At 41.2% G+C, this 17,658-nt stretch overlaps 1 protein-coding gene across 4 annotated transcripts in view, besides 1 other annotated feature; it reads right to left on the bottom strand.

Annotated features, from left to right (window-relative positions):
* Window positions 1-17,658, bottom strand: part of PGCKA1 (PDCD10 and GCKIII kinases associated 1) — a 140,256-nt gene that overhangs the window by 30,907 nt on the left and 91,691 nt on the right. For all 4 annotated transcript variants that reach the window (XM_011513713.3, XM_011513712.3, NM_001104629.2 and 1 more), the window contains one exon: window positions 4,528-4,577. The gene's annotated coding sequence lies outside the window, so the exon portion shown is untranslated. The remainder of the gene's footprint in view (window positions 1-4,527; window positions 4,578-17,658) is intronic.
* Window positions 1,454-1,955: an enhancer, noted in NCBI's record as "H3K27ac hESC enhancer chr4:37562271-37562772 (GRCh37/hg19 assembly coordinates)". NCBI's record gives its function as "activates a minimal SCP1, AML or CMV promoter by ChIP-STARR-seq in naive H9 embryonic stem cells {active_cell/tissue: H9 hESC(naive)}" and the evidence as "EXISTENCE:reporter gene assay evidence [ECO:0000049][PMID:30033119]".

Below are 17,658 nucleotides of genomic sequence, written 5' to 3'. Positions count from 1 at the left end.
ACATTCCAGGAGAACTATGTGCACTCCCACTGCCCTGTCCTCAAACAGCATCATCTCTTTTGTACCTGGATTACTGACTGCAACATCGCCTTACTATCACCTATACCTGCTAGTGTCTCTGGCTAACATATTTGCCACAAAGGAGTCACGATCTTTTTAGGCCATGAATCTGGATCATTATCACTTCCCCTGCCTAAAACTTTTCAGAGGTATCTCATGCTGTCAGGATATTTAGTAGCATGCAATAATGAAGATGATTAAAATATCAAATGTACATATTCCTTCTTATGTACCTGGTGTTCATCGATATGCTTTACATATACACTTGGTTCTCATTATTTGTGGATTCTGTATTTGTGAATTCACTGACTTACTAACGTTAATTTGTAACCCCCAAATCAATACTCATGGTGCTTGTGTGGCCATTCCTGGACATGTGCAGAGTGGGCAAAATATTTTGAGTCATTAGATGCTTATGTTTCTAGCTGAGCTCAAACAAGATGGCACTGTGCCATACTGTAAATGGGTTTCTTCTCATGGACCCATTGTTTGCATTTTGTGCTTTTTGTTGGTGATGTCACTGTTAAAAATAGCCCCAGGCATAGTGCTGACGTGTTGTCTAGTGGTCCTAGGTGCAAGAATGCTGTGATGTGCCTTACAGAGAAAATGTGTGTGTTAGATAAGCTTTGTTCAGAAATGAGTCATAGTGCTGTTAGCCCTGAGCTCAATGTTAATGAATTAACAATACATATGCAAATAAAGTGCTTTAACAACTGAAACACACATAAAACAAGTTATATATTGATCAGTTGATGAAAATATTGTGACCAGAGGCTTCTAGGAACCTAACCCCATATTTCCCCTGAGAGCAATTGTGCAGTATTCACTAACTCCTTGTTTGAAGTGACTTTATAGAACATAACTACAGTGAATTATGATTGTCGACTGCAGTAACTCACTTAAAATTAATAAGAAACTTATACAATAATAGATGAAGTCTTTTCTATCTCATACACAGCTTTCTGGTGTATTGTCCCCCCTTTCTTTCCCTGGCCACATTGGCCTTCTTTCAAGTCTTTAAAATTTATGTTTTGCTCCTGATCTCAAGGACCTTGTCATAGACTATTTCCTTTGCCTTCTCACCCCACCCAATCTAAACCAGCCAGTTTTAAACCCTGTTATTCCACCTCATATCACCTTTCACTTTACATTCTTAGCACAACTTACAGTTTTATTTAATTCATTTTTTGACGTCTTTCCTGCCTTCTCAACTATTCAACTCATGAGGGTGGGGCTTGCGAGTTGCCTGCAAGTCTTAACTCTGCTTGTTTGCTCTTAGGCAGAGGAGGATGAGCATATAAGGAGGATTGGGAAGAATGCTCAGAGAGGAAGGAGGGAATTGGGCTTTATTATCAAGAAGCAGGAGAGGAGACAGTCTTCCATCAAAGAGTGTCAGGTGCCTCAGAGATAAGGAAAGGATGGAACAGTGCACCTGAATTTCATATCAAGGAGGTTGTTGGTGGGAAATGCAGGAAGGTTGTAGAGCAGTGGAGGTGCATGCTGGGCTGCAGCAGGTTAAGGAATGCATGGGGCATATGAAAAGGAGGAGAGAGAACTCTTAGGGAGCTTGGCTGAGATGGAAAAGATGAAGGGAACAGTCACAGTGAACAAAGATATAGGATTATAGGATGGTTTCGTAGCAGGTGAAAGATAAATACCTTTTATAAGCCAAGGAGGAAAAAGATAGTTGAAAGAAACTGAGAATAGTAGAAACAATGGGGGAAAATCTAGGATCAAGTCAAGATCACTAATGAAGAAATACACCTTAGAAAGATGTACAGATATACACTTTTCCTTTGGAGCCTAGAGGGAAAGAGGCAAGGGTGATTTTAAGTGGAGACAGTTCTAGATGCAGGGAGGGAAGCTGGAAGACTGTAAGCTGTGAGTTTCTTGATGTAGGGGCAAGGTGTCTGCTGAAAGGGCTAGATGTGAAAGCTCAAAGTGACAAGGTTTGGAATGGTGTGTGGTGGAGGGGAAGAGCAACGACTGAAAGGCAGCTGAGCAGTGCTGAGGGTTGGCCTCAGCTGGCCACCAAAAATCTGAGTGATGCCAATGCATGTAGTTCTGGCATTCTTTCCCTCTCCCAGCAGTGCCCGGCAATCCAGGTAAAGGCCTATAGAATGTGGGTTACTACCCTGGTCCCAGGTTGAGGTATAAGGCAACAGGGCTTGGGTCTTGAGAGTGCTGGCAAGCATGGCTGAAGCAATGGACCTGGAGCCTGCACTAAAAGGTTAGGGCTGTGTGGCCAAGAGGTTGGCTAAGGAAGAAGAAAGAGTCCTGCAGGGTGAGGATCCTAATGAGGTTAGGGGGAACAAAAGCAAGACCAGTGACCTGGCATCCTTGAGCATGAGAATTTGGAGCCATAAGAGATGGTGGCATTGGCATATTAGTGTCTACAATGAAGGACATGGTCCAGGATGTGGCCATGGAAAGTGAAATGTAGTGGAAGTGAGGATGACTAGAGTGCAGAAAGTCAGAAAGGCTTTGGGCCTATGGTATTGAATGATCTAGAGCCACTGGGAAGTCCCCAGATAAAGGCAACAAGTAGGGAAAAGGACAGAATAGGCCAATGGCATGAACCTTAAAGGAAGATAAGGTTTGCAGATAGGAGGCAGCTTGACCATCTAGAATTTGCAAAGGGGAACAAGAATAATGCATGCACCACTTTCAGGAGACACAGAGTGAGGGGACCAGGCTGGTTCCACTGGAGTAAAAATATATAGAAGATTATAATGCAAGTTCGGACAAAGATGGAAATGGTAAAGGGCTTGGGAAGGAGACTCAGAGAGAAATAAAGAGAAGGAAGGTCTGTATTCACAGTACCTGGGTCCTAAACAGGAGAGTATACTGGAATCATCTCGAGGACTAGTCGTTATCCTGGACCCTCTGATTTAGTGGGTCTGGGATGGGGCCTGAGAAACTGAATTTATTTTATTTTATCTTATTATTATTATACTTTAAGTTTTAGGGTACATGTGCACAATGTGCAGGTTAGTTACATATGTATACATGTGCCATGCTGGTGTGCTGCACCCATTAACTTGTCATTTAGCATTAGGTATATCTCCTAATGCTATCCCTTCCCCCTCCCCCCACCCCACAACAGTCCCCAGAGTGTGATGTTCCCCTTCCTGTGTCCATGTGTTCTCATTGTTCAATTCCCATCTATGAGTGAGAATATGCGGTGTTTGGTTTTTTGTTCTTGCGATAGTTTACTGAGAATGATGATTTCCAATTTCATCCATGTCCCTACAAAGGGCATGAACTCATCTTTTTTATGGCTGCATAGTATTCCATGGTGTATATGTGCCACATTTTCTTAATCCAGTCTATCATTGTTGGACATTTGGGTTGGTTCCAAGTCTTTGCTATTGTGAATAGTGCCGCAATAAACATACGTGTGCATGTGTCTTTATAGCAGCATGATTTATAGTCCTTTGGGTATATACCCAGTAATGGGATGGCTGGGTCAAATGGTATTTCTAGTTCTAGATCCCTGAGGAATCGCCACACTGACTTCCACAATGGTTGAACTAGTTTACAGTCCCACCAACAGTGTAAAAGTGTTCCTATTTCTCCACATCCTCTCCAGCACCTGTTGTTTCCTGACTTTTTAATGATTGCCATTCTAACTGGTGTGAGATGGTATCTCATTGTGATTTTGATTTGCATTTCTCTGATGGCCAGTGATGGTGAGCATTTTTTCATGTGTTTTTTGGCTGCATAAATGTCTTCTTTTGAGAAGTGTCTGTTCATGTCCTTCGCCCACTTTTTGATGGGGTTGTTTGTTTTTTTCTTGTAAATTTGGTTGAGTTCATTGTAGATTCTGGATATTAGCCCTTTGTCAGATGAGTAGGTTGCGAAAATTTTCTCCCATTTTGTAGGTTGCCTGTTCACTCTGATGGTAGTTTCTTTTGCTGTGCAGAAGCTCTTTAGTTTAATTAGATCCCATTTGTCAATTTCATCTTTTGTTGCCATTGCTTTTGGTGTTTTAGACATGAAGTCCTTGCCCATACCTATGTCCTGAATGGTAATGCCTAGGTTTTCTTCCAGGGAGAAACTGAATTTCTAACAAGTACCCAGGTGAGGCTGATGCCGTAGGTCCCGGGACCACACGCTGAGAGCCACTGTTCTGAGGCATGGACATTACGGGAGAAGCTTGAAATTGCCTGGGGACGGGGGGATAGATTAACTGGAAATCTTTTCAGTGTGGAGACTTGGTTGAACCATGCATTATCACACTCGTTTTAGAATTGTATGTCCAAAAAACAAACGTAAAAAGGAAACAGCAATTCTACTCAAACCTGAGTGAGTCAGAAAGAAGGAGACTTTGGGGACTTCTGTGTCTACTGGCTTTAAGGTTTTAGGTAATAAAAACTGTAGCAGAAGACCAAATGATAGAAAATTTAACAGAAAGTGAAGAGAATAGATTTTCTCACCAAAGCATGGAAAGATAAAATAGCTTACCTGTTGTGGATATTGTCTGTTAGGTTTCTCTAGAAGTTTAACTTCTCTTCCTGCAACAACAAAAAAGTTGAACATTGAGATCTGTGGGTTGCCTTCTTTTCACAGTCAGGTATTATCGTGAGTGTGACTGCAGGAAGCATTTCCTAAAGGGCACTGGGCAGTAATGTGGGGAAGGAGTTCCTGGCTTGGAACAGTTTGCCCAGGAAGGCAAGGGGTTTCACATTTATCAGGCTGGGGTTTGCAGCCCAGCTCCTGACACTCAGCAATCAACTCACAGTTAACCACAATTTCAGTCTGTAAAATAATATTATAGTGAGATTTAAATGGAACATCATATAAACTGTTGATCACACACTGGAAATGTTGGAGTTGTCCAATAACCAAAAGCCATCTACTATGGACTGAATGTCTGTGCCCCCTGCAAATTCATATGTTGAAACCAATCCCCAGTGTGATGGTATTAGGAGGCAGGACCCTCTGGGGATAAAATCAGTGCCATTATTAAAGAGATCCCAGAGAGCTGCCTCGCCCCATCTGCCTTATGAAGTTATAGCGAACGATGGTTATCTATGAAGCAGGTCCTCACCAGACGCCAAATCTGCTGGCACCTTGATCTTGAACTTTCCAGCCTCCACAACTCTGAGAAATTTCTGTTGTTTATAAACCACCCACTTTCTGGTATTTTCTTATAGCAGTCTGAATGGACTAAGACATTCTAGTTGTTATTACTATTGATAAACATTACATGACAATGTGCCTCTTCTCTGATGGACAAAGTTTTGACTAAGCGAAAAATCCCACAAAAAAACAAAACAACAACAAAAACAAGCAAAATTGAATGAATAAATGTGTGGTATTTCAATAAAATACATGATTTAGAAAATATCTTTGTTTATGATGTATAGAACTTAAGAAAGTAAAACAAGTGTTCAGATTTGTATTCACTTCTCCATGATTATTAGAATAATTTACTACACATGGACACATCATTTTCAAGAAAGGCTCTTATTCCACTCCCAAGTAGACTGTATATCGAGATAATGAGCTCTGTCTTATGATATTGGAATGGTTTTACACCCTTTCAGTGATTTAATTTTATATTCTCGTCAGCGAAATCTTCTCACTTGGTTATTTCTTTAAATTGTTCAGTAACTCCTTAAGCTCTGATACACTGCTCAAACATTGTCCCATGATTATTCTATTATTCTTATTTTTTATCATAGTATTCACAATTCATTTAAATATTACTTGATAAGGAAGCCATGAGAAACACAAGTCCATGCCTGCAGGGAGATAACCCTCTAGCAGGGAAAAGCAAAGAGGTGAGAAGAGCTTACAATGAACTACAATATCATTCAGAGTACAAACAATGCCATCAAGGGGACACCAACAAAATCCTGAGGTGGTTCAGGTAGGGAAGAGAGTGTAACTGGGAGGCTTCCAGAAGCTGACAGTACCTGAGCCAGGCACTGAAACAGAGAGGAATCATATCGGATGAAAAACTAATAAAGGGGCTGGGCGTGGTCATGCTTGTAATCCCAGCACTCAGCGGGGCTGAGACAGGTGGATCACCTGAGGTCAGGAGTTCGAGACCAGCCTGGCCAACATGGTGAAACCCCGTCTCTACTAAAAATACAAAAAATTAACCTGGTGTGGTGGCAGGTGCCTGTAATCCCAGCTACACAGGAGGCGGAGGCAGGAGAATCGCTTGAACCCCGGGGACAGAGGTTGCAGTGAGCCGAGATGGTGCCACTGCACTCCTGCCTGGGCAACAAGAGCGAAACTCTGTCTCAAAAAAACAAAAAAACAAAACAAAACAAAAAAAAGAAAAAGAAAATAAAAAAGAAAAACTAATAGTGACCAGGTGTGTCGGGAGGGCGTTTTAGGCAAGGGGAATGTGACAGAGATGAGGCAGAAAGAATGGAGTATCATTTAGTCAACAAAGAATTCTGAATTCCTACTGTGTGACAAGCCCTATGCTATGCACAGGAAACTGCAGATTTTAGGTAACAAAAACTGTAGTGAAAGACTGTTAGAAAATTTAATGAAACGTGGAAAGAATAGGGTGGGATGCCAGGTGGTGCATCCTATAGAATAACAGCCTGATGGGAGCAGTAAATATTCTGGATTGCTTGATGTTTAAGGAGGAGACTCAGGGGGAACAAGGATTTCCATGGAGTGTTAAGAGTCACCCTAGGGAGTGAGATGTGAAGAGGGAAGAAGGCAGAACCATATGATTTGAACATCTACATCTGTGGGGTGAAGGGTTCTGGGTGAAAGAAACAGACAAGCAGCAGTAGAAAAGGTTTGAGGTACAGGGCTCTACAGTGCCTCAGATAAAGAGAACAGCTACCAGTCCAACAGCATCAAATGCTGTGCAGAGGATCGAGACCATTTTAAAAACTGGATCCTTATCTTGACTTTGATTATACTGTATTCCCTGTAGAACAAATCCAAAATCCACCTCTCGAGCCACACCCTTTGTCTCCTAAGCACCAGACCCATATTTTGCATGTGGATGATGCAGCATTTCTGAAGAGAAGACCTCAGCAGTCAGTTCCTCCACAACCATTTTCGGAAAGATAAACAAACCAGAGGGCATGAGTCTTAGTGACTTATCCAGGGCCATGCAAGGAATCGGTAGGGAGGAGCCAGGACTTGTTTCCTGGCCTCCTGTCTCAGAGTGTCCTCTATGAATTGATAACGTCACATAATTCTTGTTTTTGTTTTGAACAAAGTATCCAACTGTCTGTTAGAAGCTACTCTCAGATGTCTGCACACTTAGTAAGCTGTTACTGAGTGCCTAAGAAGTGCCATGTAGAGTGCTAAGCACTGAGAGTATGAAAGGGGAACAGAACGCCCTACTTGCCCTACCATGCAACTTACCAGGTGGTTGGTAGACAGATCAAAACCAGTGGTAAGTGCTTCCTAGGAAACCAACTGGATGTGGCAATTTGGAGTTATAGGTGAGAATTCACTTAGAGTGAGGGTTGGACCCTCTGAGAGGGTAGCATTTAAACTGGGATCTAAAAGATGAGATGGAGCCAGCTATGTAATGAAAAGCTCTCATTAAACCACTGCACTGTTAAAAGACCTTAAGTGGTTCCGTATTGCCTACCAAATCTTAAATATCCTCAGCTATGCATTCAAGGCCTTCTACAATACGACATCCATGGCCTTCCTAGTTTATCTGGGGAACTCCTCCAGCTACTTTCTATTTCCAGCCAAACTAGACTTTTCATTATTCTTTAATGCCAATGCTTCTATACCTTTGCACATATTATTTTCCCCAATTGGCATACCTCCTTACCAATCAATAGTTTGCAAAATTCTATTCATCCTTCAAAACTCATTTCACACACCACTTTCTCCAGGAAGACTTTGAAAAATTCCAAAATAAAGGTAATTACTCTATTTAAAATATTTCTAGGCCGGGTGTGGTGGCTCACACCTGTAATCCCAGCACTTTGGGAGGCTGAGGCAGGTGGATCACCTGAGGTCAGAAGTTCGAGACTAGCCTGACCAACATGGTGAAACCTTGTCTCTACTAAAAGTACAAAAATTAGCCAGGCGTGGTGGCACATGCCTGTAGTCCCAGCTACTCAGGAGGCTGAGGAGCAGAATTGCTTGAACCTGGAGGCGGAGGGTGCAGCGAGCTCATTGCACCACTGCACTCCAGCTTGGGTGACAGAGCAAGACTCTGCCTCTAAATAAATAAATAAATAAATATTTCTAAAGGATCTTTAAGCTCTTTGTATTAGTCCATTTTCATACTGCTATGAAGAAATTCCTGAGACTGGGTAATTTATAAAGAAAAAGAGGTTTAATGGACTCACAGTTCCACGTGGCTGGGGAGGCCTCACAATCATGGCGGATGGTGAAGCAGATGCAAAGGCACATCTTACATGTCAGGAGGCAAGGCAGCGTGTGCAGGGGAACTGCCCTTTATAAAACCATCAGATCTCATGAGATTTATTCAGTATCATGAGAATACCACGGGAAAAACCCACCCCCATGATTCAATTACCTCCCACAACACGTGGGGATTATGGTAGCTACAATTCAAGATGAGATTTGGGTGGGGACACAGCCAAACTATATCACTGTATCAAGGTGGATAGCTCTGATCACTTTCCGTCTTGGATTATAGTACATAATTCATTTATACAATGTTCCCTCTATCAGACTATAAACCCTCAGTAGAGAAAGCCATGGTTTCATCAGTGTTTATCTGCACATTGTGTCCCTTGGCACAGTGACTTGCATATAGGTGGTACCTTGCATGTTTTAAAAAATTTGACTTAAAAATATCATTGGCAATTTAAAGATGCCTAATACCAATGCATAATATTATAACACAACAACGCTCACATTTTATCGATTCTAAGATGTACGTGTATTCATTTACCTTTTAACATATCTGGAATTGGAATGTATCTAGCAATCATTGGCACATCATGGTTACATTGGCAGCATTATTTTCTATCTTTGTGTTACGTAAGATAATGGTACATGTTACAATCAATGGCATCTAATATTTAATGAAATGTGGCATTAATCCCATATTATAGTTTATTTCAGCAATATATTATGCAAAAATTTTACAAACAATACCCTATATCAAACAAGTGTCTACGTTGTGCACAGTTATACAAAGAAGTCCTTCTAAGATGAAACTAACAACATCCAGGGGTAAAGTAAGAAGTTTATCAGCTCCAAGAACTATAAAGATCAGGTGTCAAAATAACAATAACCATGAAATAAGATGCATCAAAGAAGTTATAATTTTTCCCAGAATGACTTTTTGAAGTGATAAATCTTTTCAAAAATAAATATTTTTTGGTATACTGCTGGTGCCTGGAAAATATGTGTTTCTATACAGGGATACAAGTATAAATAACTCATTTGTTGGGCAAGCTATTGCTTGTACATGGGGAAGACCTGATGCCTGGTACAGCCAGTCAGCACTAAGCGTTATGGGAGTTTGGGAGAAAATGTAATCCCACTGCAACGAAGCTGCCAGGAAAGGCTTTATGGAAAAATGAGGCCATGAGAGATAGGTAGAAATTAATTAGGCGGAGAGGACAGTTTTAGTAAAAGCAAAAAGGTAGAAAAGAACAGGACTTGTGTGAAAGACAATGGAGAGACCCATGTTGGATTTTGGGGTTACAAGATGGATATGGCCTATATGGCCAGGTTACTGAAAGTAGGTCCAGAAGACCAAATATGGCATGATAGGCAAACAAATTAGGTTCTGAAGTGGTGAATGACAAGATGGAAGCAATATATTACAAAGCATGACCTACCAGTGGTAAGCAGAGAAAATGAAAAGGGTTGGGTACAGAAAGACTTGCTAAGAGTTTACCCTTTCAATTTAATGATGAGATAAAAAAAAGCCTGGCGTGTGGTGGCATCAAAGGGAATCCAGAGGAAGGAGCAAATTTGGAAGTGATTTTATTTCAAGACTTCTTGGATTTTTGAGTTAATTTCTACTGCCCCTGGTTTCTCTTAGCACATTGGTTTATATGTTTATTACACATAGTATTGTACAAGAGTTACATAGCCTCACTAGCTCCTTCCTTATGCATAAAATGACAATGATAATAGTACTGTAGCAGGATGAGCCACAGGCAAAACCTCTCAGACACTGAGTTGTAGAAGGAAGGGTTTTATTCAGCTGGGAGCATCGGCAAGCTACTGTCTTAAAATCTGAGCTCCCCAAGTGCACAATTTCTGTCCCTTTTAAGGGCTCACAACACTAAAGATTTTACATGAAAGGGTCGTGATTGATTGAGCAATCTAGGGGATACATGATAGGGGTTTCATGCACTGGTAGTCAGAGTGAAACACAACACAGCAGGCAGTTTCACAATGTTCTTCCATACAATGCCTGAAATCTATGGGTAACATTGGGTTCTAAGTCATGAGTTGATTTTTAACTACTAGGTTTAGGCCAGGCAGGCCCAGGTCTGGTTTTGGGCCTGGCCCCGGGCTGCCTGTCTTTGATTTCACTTCCTTGTTTTTTTTCTTAAGACAGGTACTGAGTATAAAACAATATAAAACAATATGAGAGGGTTTATCTCTTCCCTCATTTCCCCCCTTTGAGACTCTCACTTTTTATTAGTGGGAGTTCTCACTCTTATTTTTGCTACTTATGTCTTTTTGTGCAATAGATTGATAGTGATTTATATAGTACACTTGTGCTGAAGCATTTTGGTGAACTAAGGTAGCGATGAAGCTTTTTATCATTTGAAGAAGTACAGGTAGTAAACAAGGGAGCAGTAAGCAGGTTTCTATTACTATTATAACTCCTATTATAAGAGTTTTAAATTTTTCTAGTGCTGGGAACCACCTTCTAAACATGGCTTCAGGGTTGAATCTGTGCTACACTTTTACGGGCACATGTGCCAGTTTTGTCATATTTCTAACTATGTCTTTGAGTACTTGCCTTTGATTATCTATGTGTAGACAGTAATTAGTAAGGTTAAATTTCTTATAGACCTCTCTTTCAGCTGCTAGCAAGTAGTCGAGAGCCAATCTATTTTGATAGATAGCATTTCTTATCTGAGGGTTTTTTTGCCGGGCCAGAATAGTCAAGGTTTGACTGGTTTTATTAGTGATGATTTCTAAAACAGCTTGCAACCATATGATTCTGTTGAGCATGTAATTGGGGGTCCAGTATCCCCATGAGCCATCTTGTGTCTAGCTGGCAGGCCTATAGTATTGTATAATTTTTTTAGGGGGCCATTTATCATCTTTTTAATTACCTATGGCTACGCTTCGTTTTTTGTGGGAAGCATAGACAGGGAAACCCAGGAATTTGCCTGCTTTTACGGGCAGTAAAAAGAAAGATGGTTTAATGGTGTCAATTACACAGCTACCTGTCCACTGATCAGGCAGCTTAGCATAGGCTCTATGTCCACATATCCAGTATAACCCACTGGGGGCAGTCCAGTCCCAGTGGACTTCTGGGTGGGCCCAGACAGTCTGCAACCTTGGAAATTTACTGAATGGATCTCTGTCTATGTAACTGGAACTCTATCATGTAACTGTTTTTTTTTTATGGTACTATTATTACAGTTTTTGTCCTAGGCAACTAAATCATCCTGCAGAATGAGTGAATTTTTTCTTTTTCTAGCTATGCAATATTGTCCAATAATTGAGGCCTTTAGAACCTAAAAATTGTCAGGGTGGTTCTTTTGGGCCGGTAATTCATCAGGAACTGGGTCTGTAGGAATTAATTCTCGGGATTCCCATGGCCATTGATCTCCTGTTATAGTTCCTCCACAAACATAACACGAAGTGACTTTTAGAGACTGGGCTACATGCTCGGCTAATTGCAAAAACAAATTTTTAGTCTTTCCTGGAATCTCAGGTACTGGCACATTTAGTTCATCATAGAAAGTCTGAAATACGGGTTCTGGAGAGCGTCTTTGAACCTCTCCTTTTATTAAGATGTTTACACTAGGATCTAGTCCTTTTCCATCAATGCTCAATGATACATATTTTCCTTTATTTCATTTTGGGTGTGAGGGGTTTGTGATTACCAGTTCTAAAGGGCTGCAGCTCCCACAGTGGGGCTGCTTTTCCTTTCTGGAGCCAAACAGGACCTTTTTAATCCTGTTTCCAAGTAAGTCCAAATGACACAAGACCAGTATTGACACATCTCACATAAATATGATTCTTGACAGATATACTTAATTTTTTTTTTTACTGTGTAACTTTTTTTTCCAGTCTAGAGAACTGCACCCTATTCCTTGCTGATTACTATTAATAGAAGCACAAGCATCAAATTTTAAGGTTACATGTTTGGGGACCCCTCTTTCTTCTGTTCTAGCTATTACTTTACTTGTGTCACCAGGAAAAGGACCAGTCCTTAGTCTTACTTCAAAGACTGTGATCATGGGAGGTTCAGAGGGGTCATAGCACACATCGGGCTGGTCACTTCCTGGATTACATACTTGGTACTGAGTGTTATTATACAAACAGGTTCCTTTTGGAGTTCCTAGGCATTCACAATAACTGTAAAACAATAGGACTGTAGCAATCTTTTGTCCTACCTCAGTGACTTGATGTATATACTAGGAACAGCCCTCAGTCTGAGGAAGGTCAGTTGAAGTCCTTACTGTACAAGTCTAAATTTTAAGGAAAATAAGTCCCACGATGAGTTTCCTCATGCTTCGGCCTGTGTGGACCAGTCAGCTTCTGGGTGTGACTGGAGCAGGGCTTGCTGTCTTCTTCAGAGTCACTTTGCAGGGGTTGGCGAAGCTGCTCCCATCCATGTACAGCCCCCAGTCTACTGATGTTTAAGGGTAGTCTCGGAGGTTGGGCCTACTAGAATAAACTGAGTCCAACACCTCTAAACAGTTATGTTTATCTGGGCTCTCTGATACCAGGAGTAAGGTGGCGGGGTTAGGGTGTTGCAAACTTCAATGGTTATGCGGGGATTTTCACAGAGCAAGCTTTGGTATCTAGTTAGTCTAGCATTTATTAGCTAATGATGTCCTTTGGTATTTATTAAAGTCACCACAGCATGGGGGGACTTTATGTTTAGGTTTTGCCTAAGAGTTAGCTTATCTGCTTCTTGTGCTAACAGGGCCGTTGCTGCCAGGGACCTTAGACATGGGGGTCAGCCTTTGGAAACCCCAGCTAGTTGTTTTTGAGAGATAGGCCACTGGCCTTGGCCAGGGCCCTACAGTCTGGGTTAAAACTCCAAATGCCATTTTTTTTTTCTTCTGGTTGATGAAATGCCAGGGTGAAAGGGATAGGCAATTGGACTAAAGTATAAGTTCCACTCCAGTTATTTGGCAGAGTGCCCAGTAAAGGTCCACCACAATACTACCACGCATCCGCTTGGGGATGAACAAGGGCTGACTAATTGATAAGCTCTTGAAAATTCTTAAGCTCATCGCATCACTTCAGGTCTCCAAGGAATGCTAAGTTTCCTCCCTGTGGTGAGAGACACGAAGTGAACTTAGTGTTGGGGCATGGAGGCTGGATGGCCCTCGGGTCTGACCTGCAGGGACTCCGGGATATAGCAGAGAGAGCTTGGCATGACTTATTACTCCAGGCTGTAGAATCCTGGAAAAGAGCTACCATGCAGCCCATGCCTGGTCGACTGGAGGACCACCTTAGTGGAAGGGAGATAAACAGGGCCTCTGCCATGTGCACAAGCATCACAATTGCTTTTGTTTAACATGCAGATGGAATATTTGATCCATTTCAACCAGACATTTGCATCTTGGTATGCTGTTTTAATTGCCAAAGTTTAAGTCTTTAACTTTTATGATCCTCTAGTAAAATGAATGTTTCTTTTAGCACCTATTTTTATTAGTTTTTAGACCAAAGAAAGCTAAACACCATTTTATGTTTAATAATGTTTCTTGTATGATTTTTATACCAGATAAACTAAATTTTACCTTTATATTAGTGTGTTATTAATGTTAAACTTAATTTTAATAAAACCTTGTAGACATATTTATCCAATTTTTCATGTTTGACCATAAGGTAAGATTTTATAGACTCTTTTTTTTTAACCTTTTATAATTTTTGTTAAAGAGCAGGTTGATGCTTTAAGAAAAACCTGTTGCATTTTTCCTTTAATATCCAGTTCACAGAAAAACTGGATGATACCTTTTTAACTTTAGCTAATATGTTTATACACAGAATTTTCTTTACAATTAACATTTTAAAACTTGCTTAAACTTTTAAAACAATAACTTTTTTTTAACCTTTTAATGTAGGTAAAAATCCACATTCTTATGCCTCCTTATAATATTTTTACCAAAGATATATTTTACTTTATACACCTTGCACATAAACTGTTTCTTCAGTAGTACTCAGGAGGCCTTATTACTTTTAAATTATACAACATTTTTTGCATAACTTTTTTTTATAACTTTTTTTCTTTCACGACTTTCACAGACAATTTTTCAACGTGTCTCAACTTTCTGACTTATTACAAGTAGTTTTTTCTTTAAACAACCAGTTAATTTATTTCAGGACAAGAATTTACCATATAACACTCTTTTGATATAAATTCTGCCTCCCCCCCTTTTTTTTTCCTTTTTTTTTTGAAGATAACCATTTTTTTTTTTTTTAAAGAGAACTTTCTTTGTGTCTTTGGACTAGACTGTGTAAGGCCACAAGATTAGAAGTTACCATAATACATGTTACGCTGTTAAATTTTAGCAAACTTCACTTCTGTTGAAAACCTTGTAAGTTTGGGATTTCAATTATCCTTTGCTATTAATAAGACCTTGTTTAGTCTAAATTAACTTAGAATTGGTATAGATGGCCTCTTTTTCTCCCTGCTGGTCTTTCCTTGCCTCTGCCAGCCACTTATGCTGCTGTTCTCTTAACTACTGTTGGGTGGGGAAGGGGGTCTAAAACCAGGTGTAATTGTCTATGTGTGGAAACTGGTCTGGGTGCCTTGGCTTACAGGTTACCTTGGGTCATACCTTTGAAACAAGGGACCTGTCCAGGCTTCCTTCTGGTGGCCAACCTACCTCTAATGCTGGCCAGTCTATTTCACACAAAGTTCTAAGTTTTTCTGGTGTCATGTAACACTATAATCTCCCTTAAATCCTTTCTTGAAATTTTTCAACATAGTTCCTAGTGGGGTGGGCTTATTTGTGCCTGACCTATGCTTCTTTGAGACAAAATACCACACTCACACCACATGCACACCACAAAACAAAAAACACTTAAAAAGGGCACACACACACTTTTGCAGTTCACACCAAACCAAAATCAGAGTATCCAGAAATCCAAGCCAGGTCAAAACCAAAACCAAAGTATCAAGCAATCTAAGTCAAGTCAAAAACAAAAACCAAAGTGCCGGTAGAGGCACACCGTGGGTGATCAGGCCATGCTTCCACTCGAATGGAGAAGGCAAGTTCCCAAGACCAGTCTTGTCAAGGAATTTAAACCAAGTCAAAACCAAAACCAAAGTGCCGATAAAGGCACGCCATGGGTGATCAGGCCACACTACCACTCAAATGGAGTGGGCAAGTTCCCAAGACCAGTCCTGTCAAGCAATTCAAACCAAGTCAAACCCAAAATCAACATCAAAGTGCCGATTAAGGCATGCCGTGGGTGATCAGGCCACACTTCCACTCAAATGGAGTGGGCAAGTTCCAAAGACTGGTCTTACCTAGTTTCAGATGTCCAGACTCTAAATGCCAGTTCCTTCCTGGTGCTCAGCCACTGCAGGGGCCTGCTACGTGCTGCTGTGGCGAGGCGTTCCACCGGGGCAATTGCCTACCTGGGAGCGGTCTTTGGATCGCGTCACTCAGGCTGGCTGGAGTCCCCTGCAGGGATGCTCCACAGGGCAGGCCTAGGCCACCTAAGGGGCTGCCTCGGCCATCTGTCAGTCACCTCGCTTCCCGGTCAGGGAACCAAGAAATGTAGCAGGATGAGCCGCAGGGAAAACCTCTCAGACACCAAGTTTTAGAAGGAAGGGCTTTATTCAGCTGGGAGCATCAGCAAGCTACTGTCTTAAAATCCGAGCTCCCTGACTGCACAATTTCTATCCCTTTTAAGGGCTTGCAACACTAAAGATTGTACGTGAAAGGGTCGTGATTGATTGAGCAATCTAGGGGACATGTGACAGGTGTTTCATGCACTGGTAGTCAGAGTGAAACAGAACAGAGCAGGGAGTTTCACAATGTTCTTCCATACAATGCCTGAAATCTATGGGTAACATTGGGTTCTAAGTCATGAGTTGACTTTTAACTACCAGGTTTAGGCCAGGCAGGCCCAGTCCTGGTTTTAGGCCTGGCGCCAGGCTGCCTGTCTTTGATTTCACTTCCTTGTTTTTTTTCTTAAAACAGGTACTGAGTATAAAACAATATAAAACAATATGAGAGGGTCTTTCTGTTCCCTCAGTACCTTTTTCAGACAGTAGTTAGGATTAAGTGAAAGAACACAGTAAGGTATGGAGCACAGTCGGTACAAAGTATAATTTCAACAGTGTTGGCTGTTGCTTGATTCATCACTGTTATCATCATCATCCCCATCCTCCTTCTCATCATCTATTAGTTTGCAGTTTTTCTCCCAGCCACTACAATGGAAGTTCCTTGAATCTAAGGATCAGGTCTCATTATCTTTATTTCTTCAAAAAGAAATACAAAGTAGGACTTCTGTAAATATGTACTATATTTTAAGGGAAAAAGTTCCAGATTTCCATGGAAGAAGGAATTTGTATGATAAAAGAAGGAATTATTAGAATTATTATTTTTGGAGGCTGACAGAATGGAAGAACAGTGGTTCCATAAATGAGACAGTTGGCAGGAGGACAATATACAGAGTTTCAGAGATCCTGAAGTTATCAGTTAACCTACTGAGCTGAAACAATGAATGGGGGGATGACAACAGAAAGGTGATGGACAGGACAAACACGTCCAACTACCTCCCATTGAAACAAAGGCAGAAACCCAAAGGGAGAGCAATAGAGGAGGTAAAAACAGAAAGTAAAGTCACTGACCTCTTAAATCAGCACTCTGGAAAACAAAGGATTAGCCCAATTTAGATGGTAGAATCCTTAAAGTCCCAAGGAAAGTAAGAGTGAATTATGGAGGACTAAAATAAGAATAGTTTGGAAGGTTTTTAAGAAGTCAGGTTACCAAATCTCTTCCTGCACTCCTTAGAGTGGTTTCTACTTTCCGTCTCAGCCAAAGAATGCAGGTTGAGTGTCAGGAAAGGGTGAAACAGGGTTTCTGGACTGGAAACAACAGTAGAGGACACACAGTGGAGGGCAGGGGTTTCATACCAAAAACAGGGGGATTAAGTGAACACATGCACAGGAAATGTTGGGGACTGCAGCCTGCTCCCCTCCTTGTTTCTGTGAGAATGCCTGGCAGCTACCTTCTACCAACAAAAGTCTCTACCATAAAGATAGAGATTAAAACCAAGCAACCTGGCCAGGCGCGGTGGCTCAGGCCTATAATCCCAGCACTTGGGGAGGCCAAGGTGCGTGGATCACTTGAGGTCAGGAGTTCGAGACCAGCCAGACCAACATGGAGAAACCCCATCTCTACTGAAAATACAAAAATTAGCCAGGTGTGGTGGTACATGCCTGTAATTCCAGCTACTTGGGAGGCTGAGGCAGGAGAATCACTTGAACCCGGG

The sequence above is a fragment of the Homo sapiens genome, chromosome 4, assembly GCF_000001405.40.
Source record: "Homo sapiens chromosome 4, GRCh38.p14 Primary Assembly".
Lineage (NCBI taxonomy): Eukaryota > Metazoa > Chordata > Mammalia > Primates > Hominidae > Homo > Homo sapiens.
Note: the sequence above shows the minus strand (reverse complement) of the source record. Positions and strands in the feature narration are given on the sequence as shown.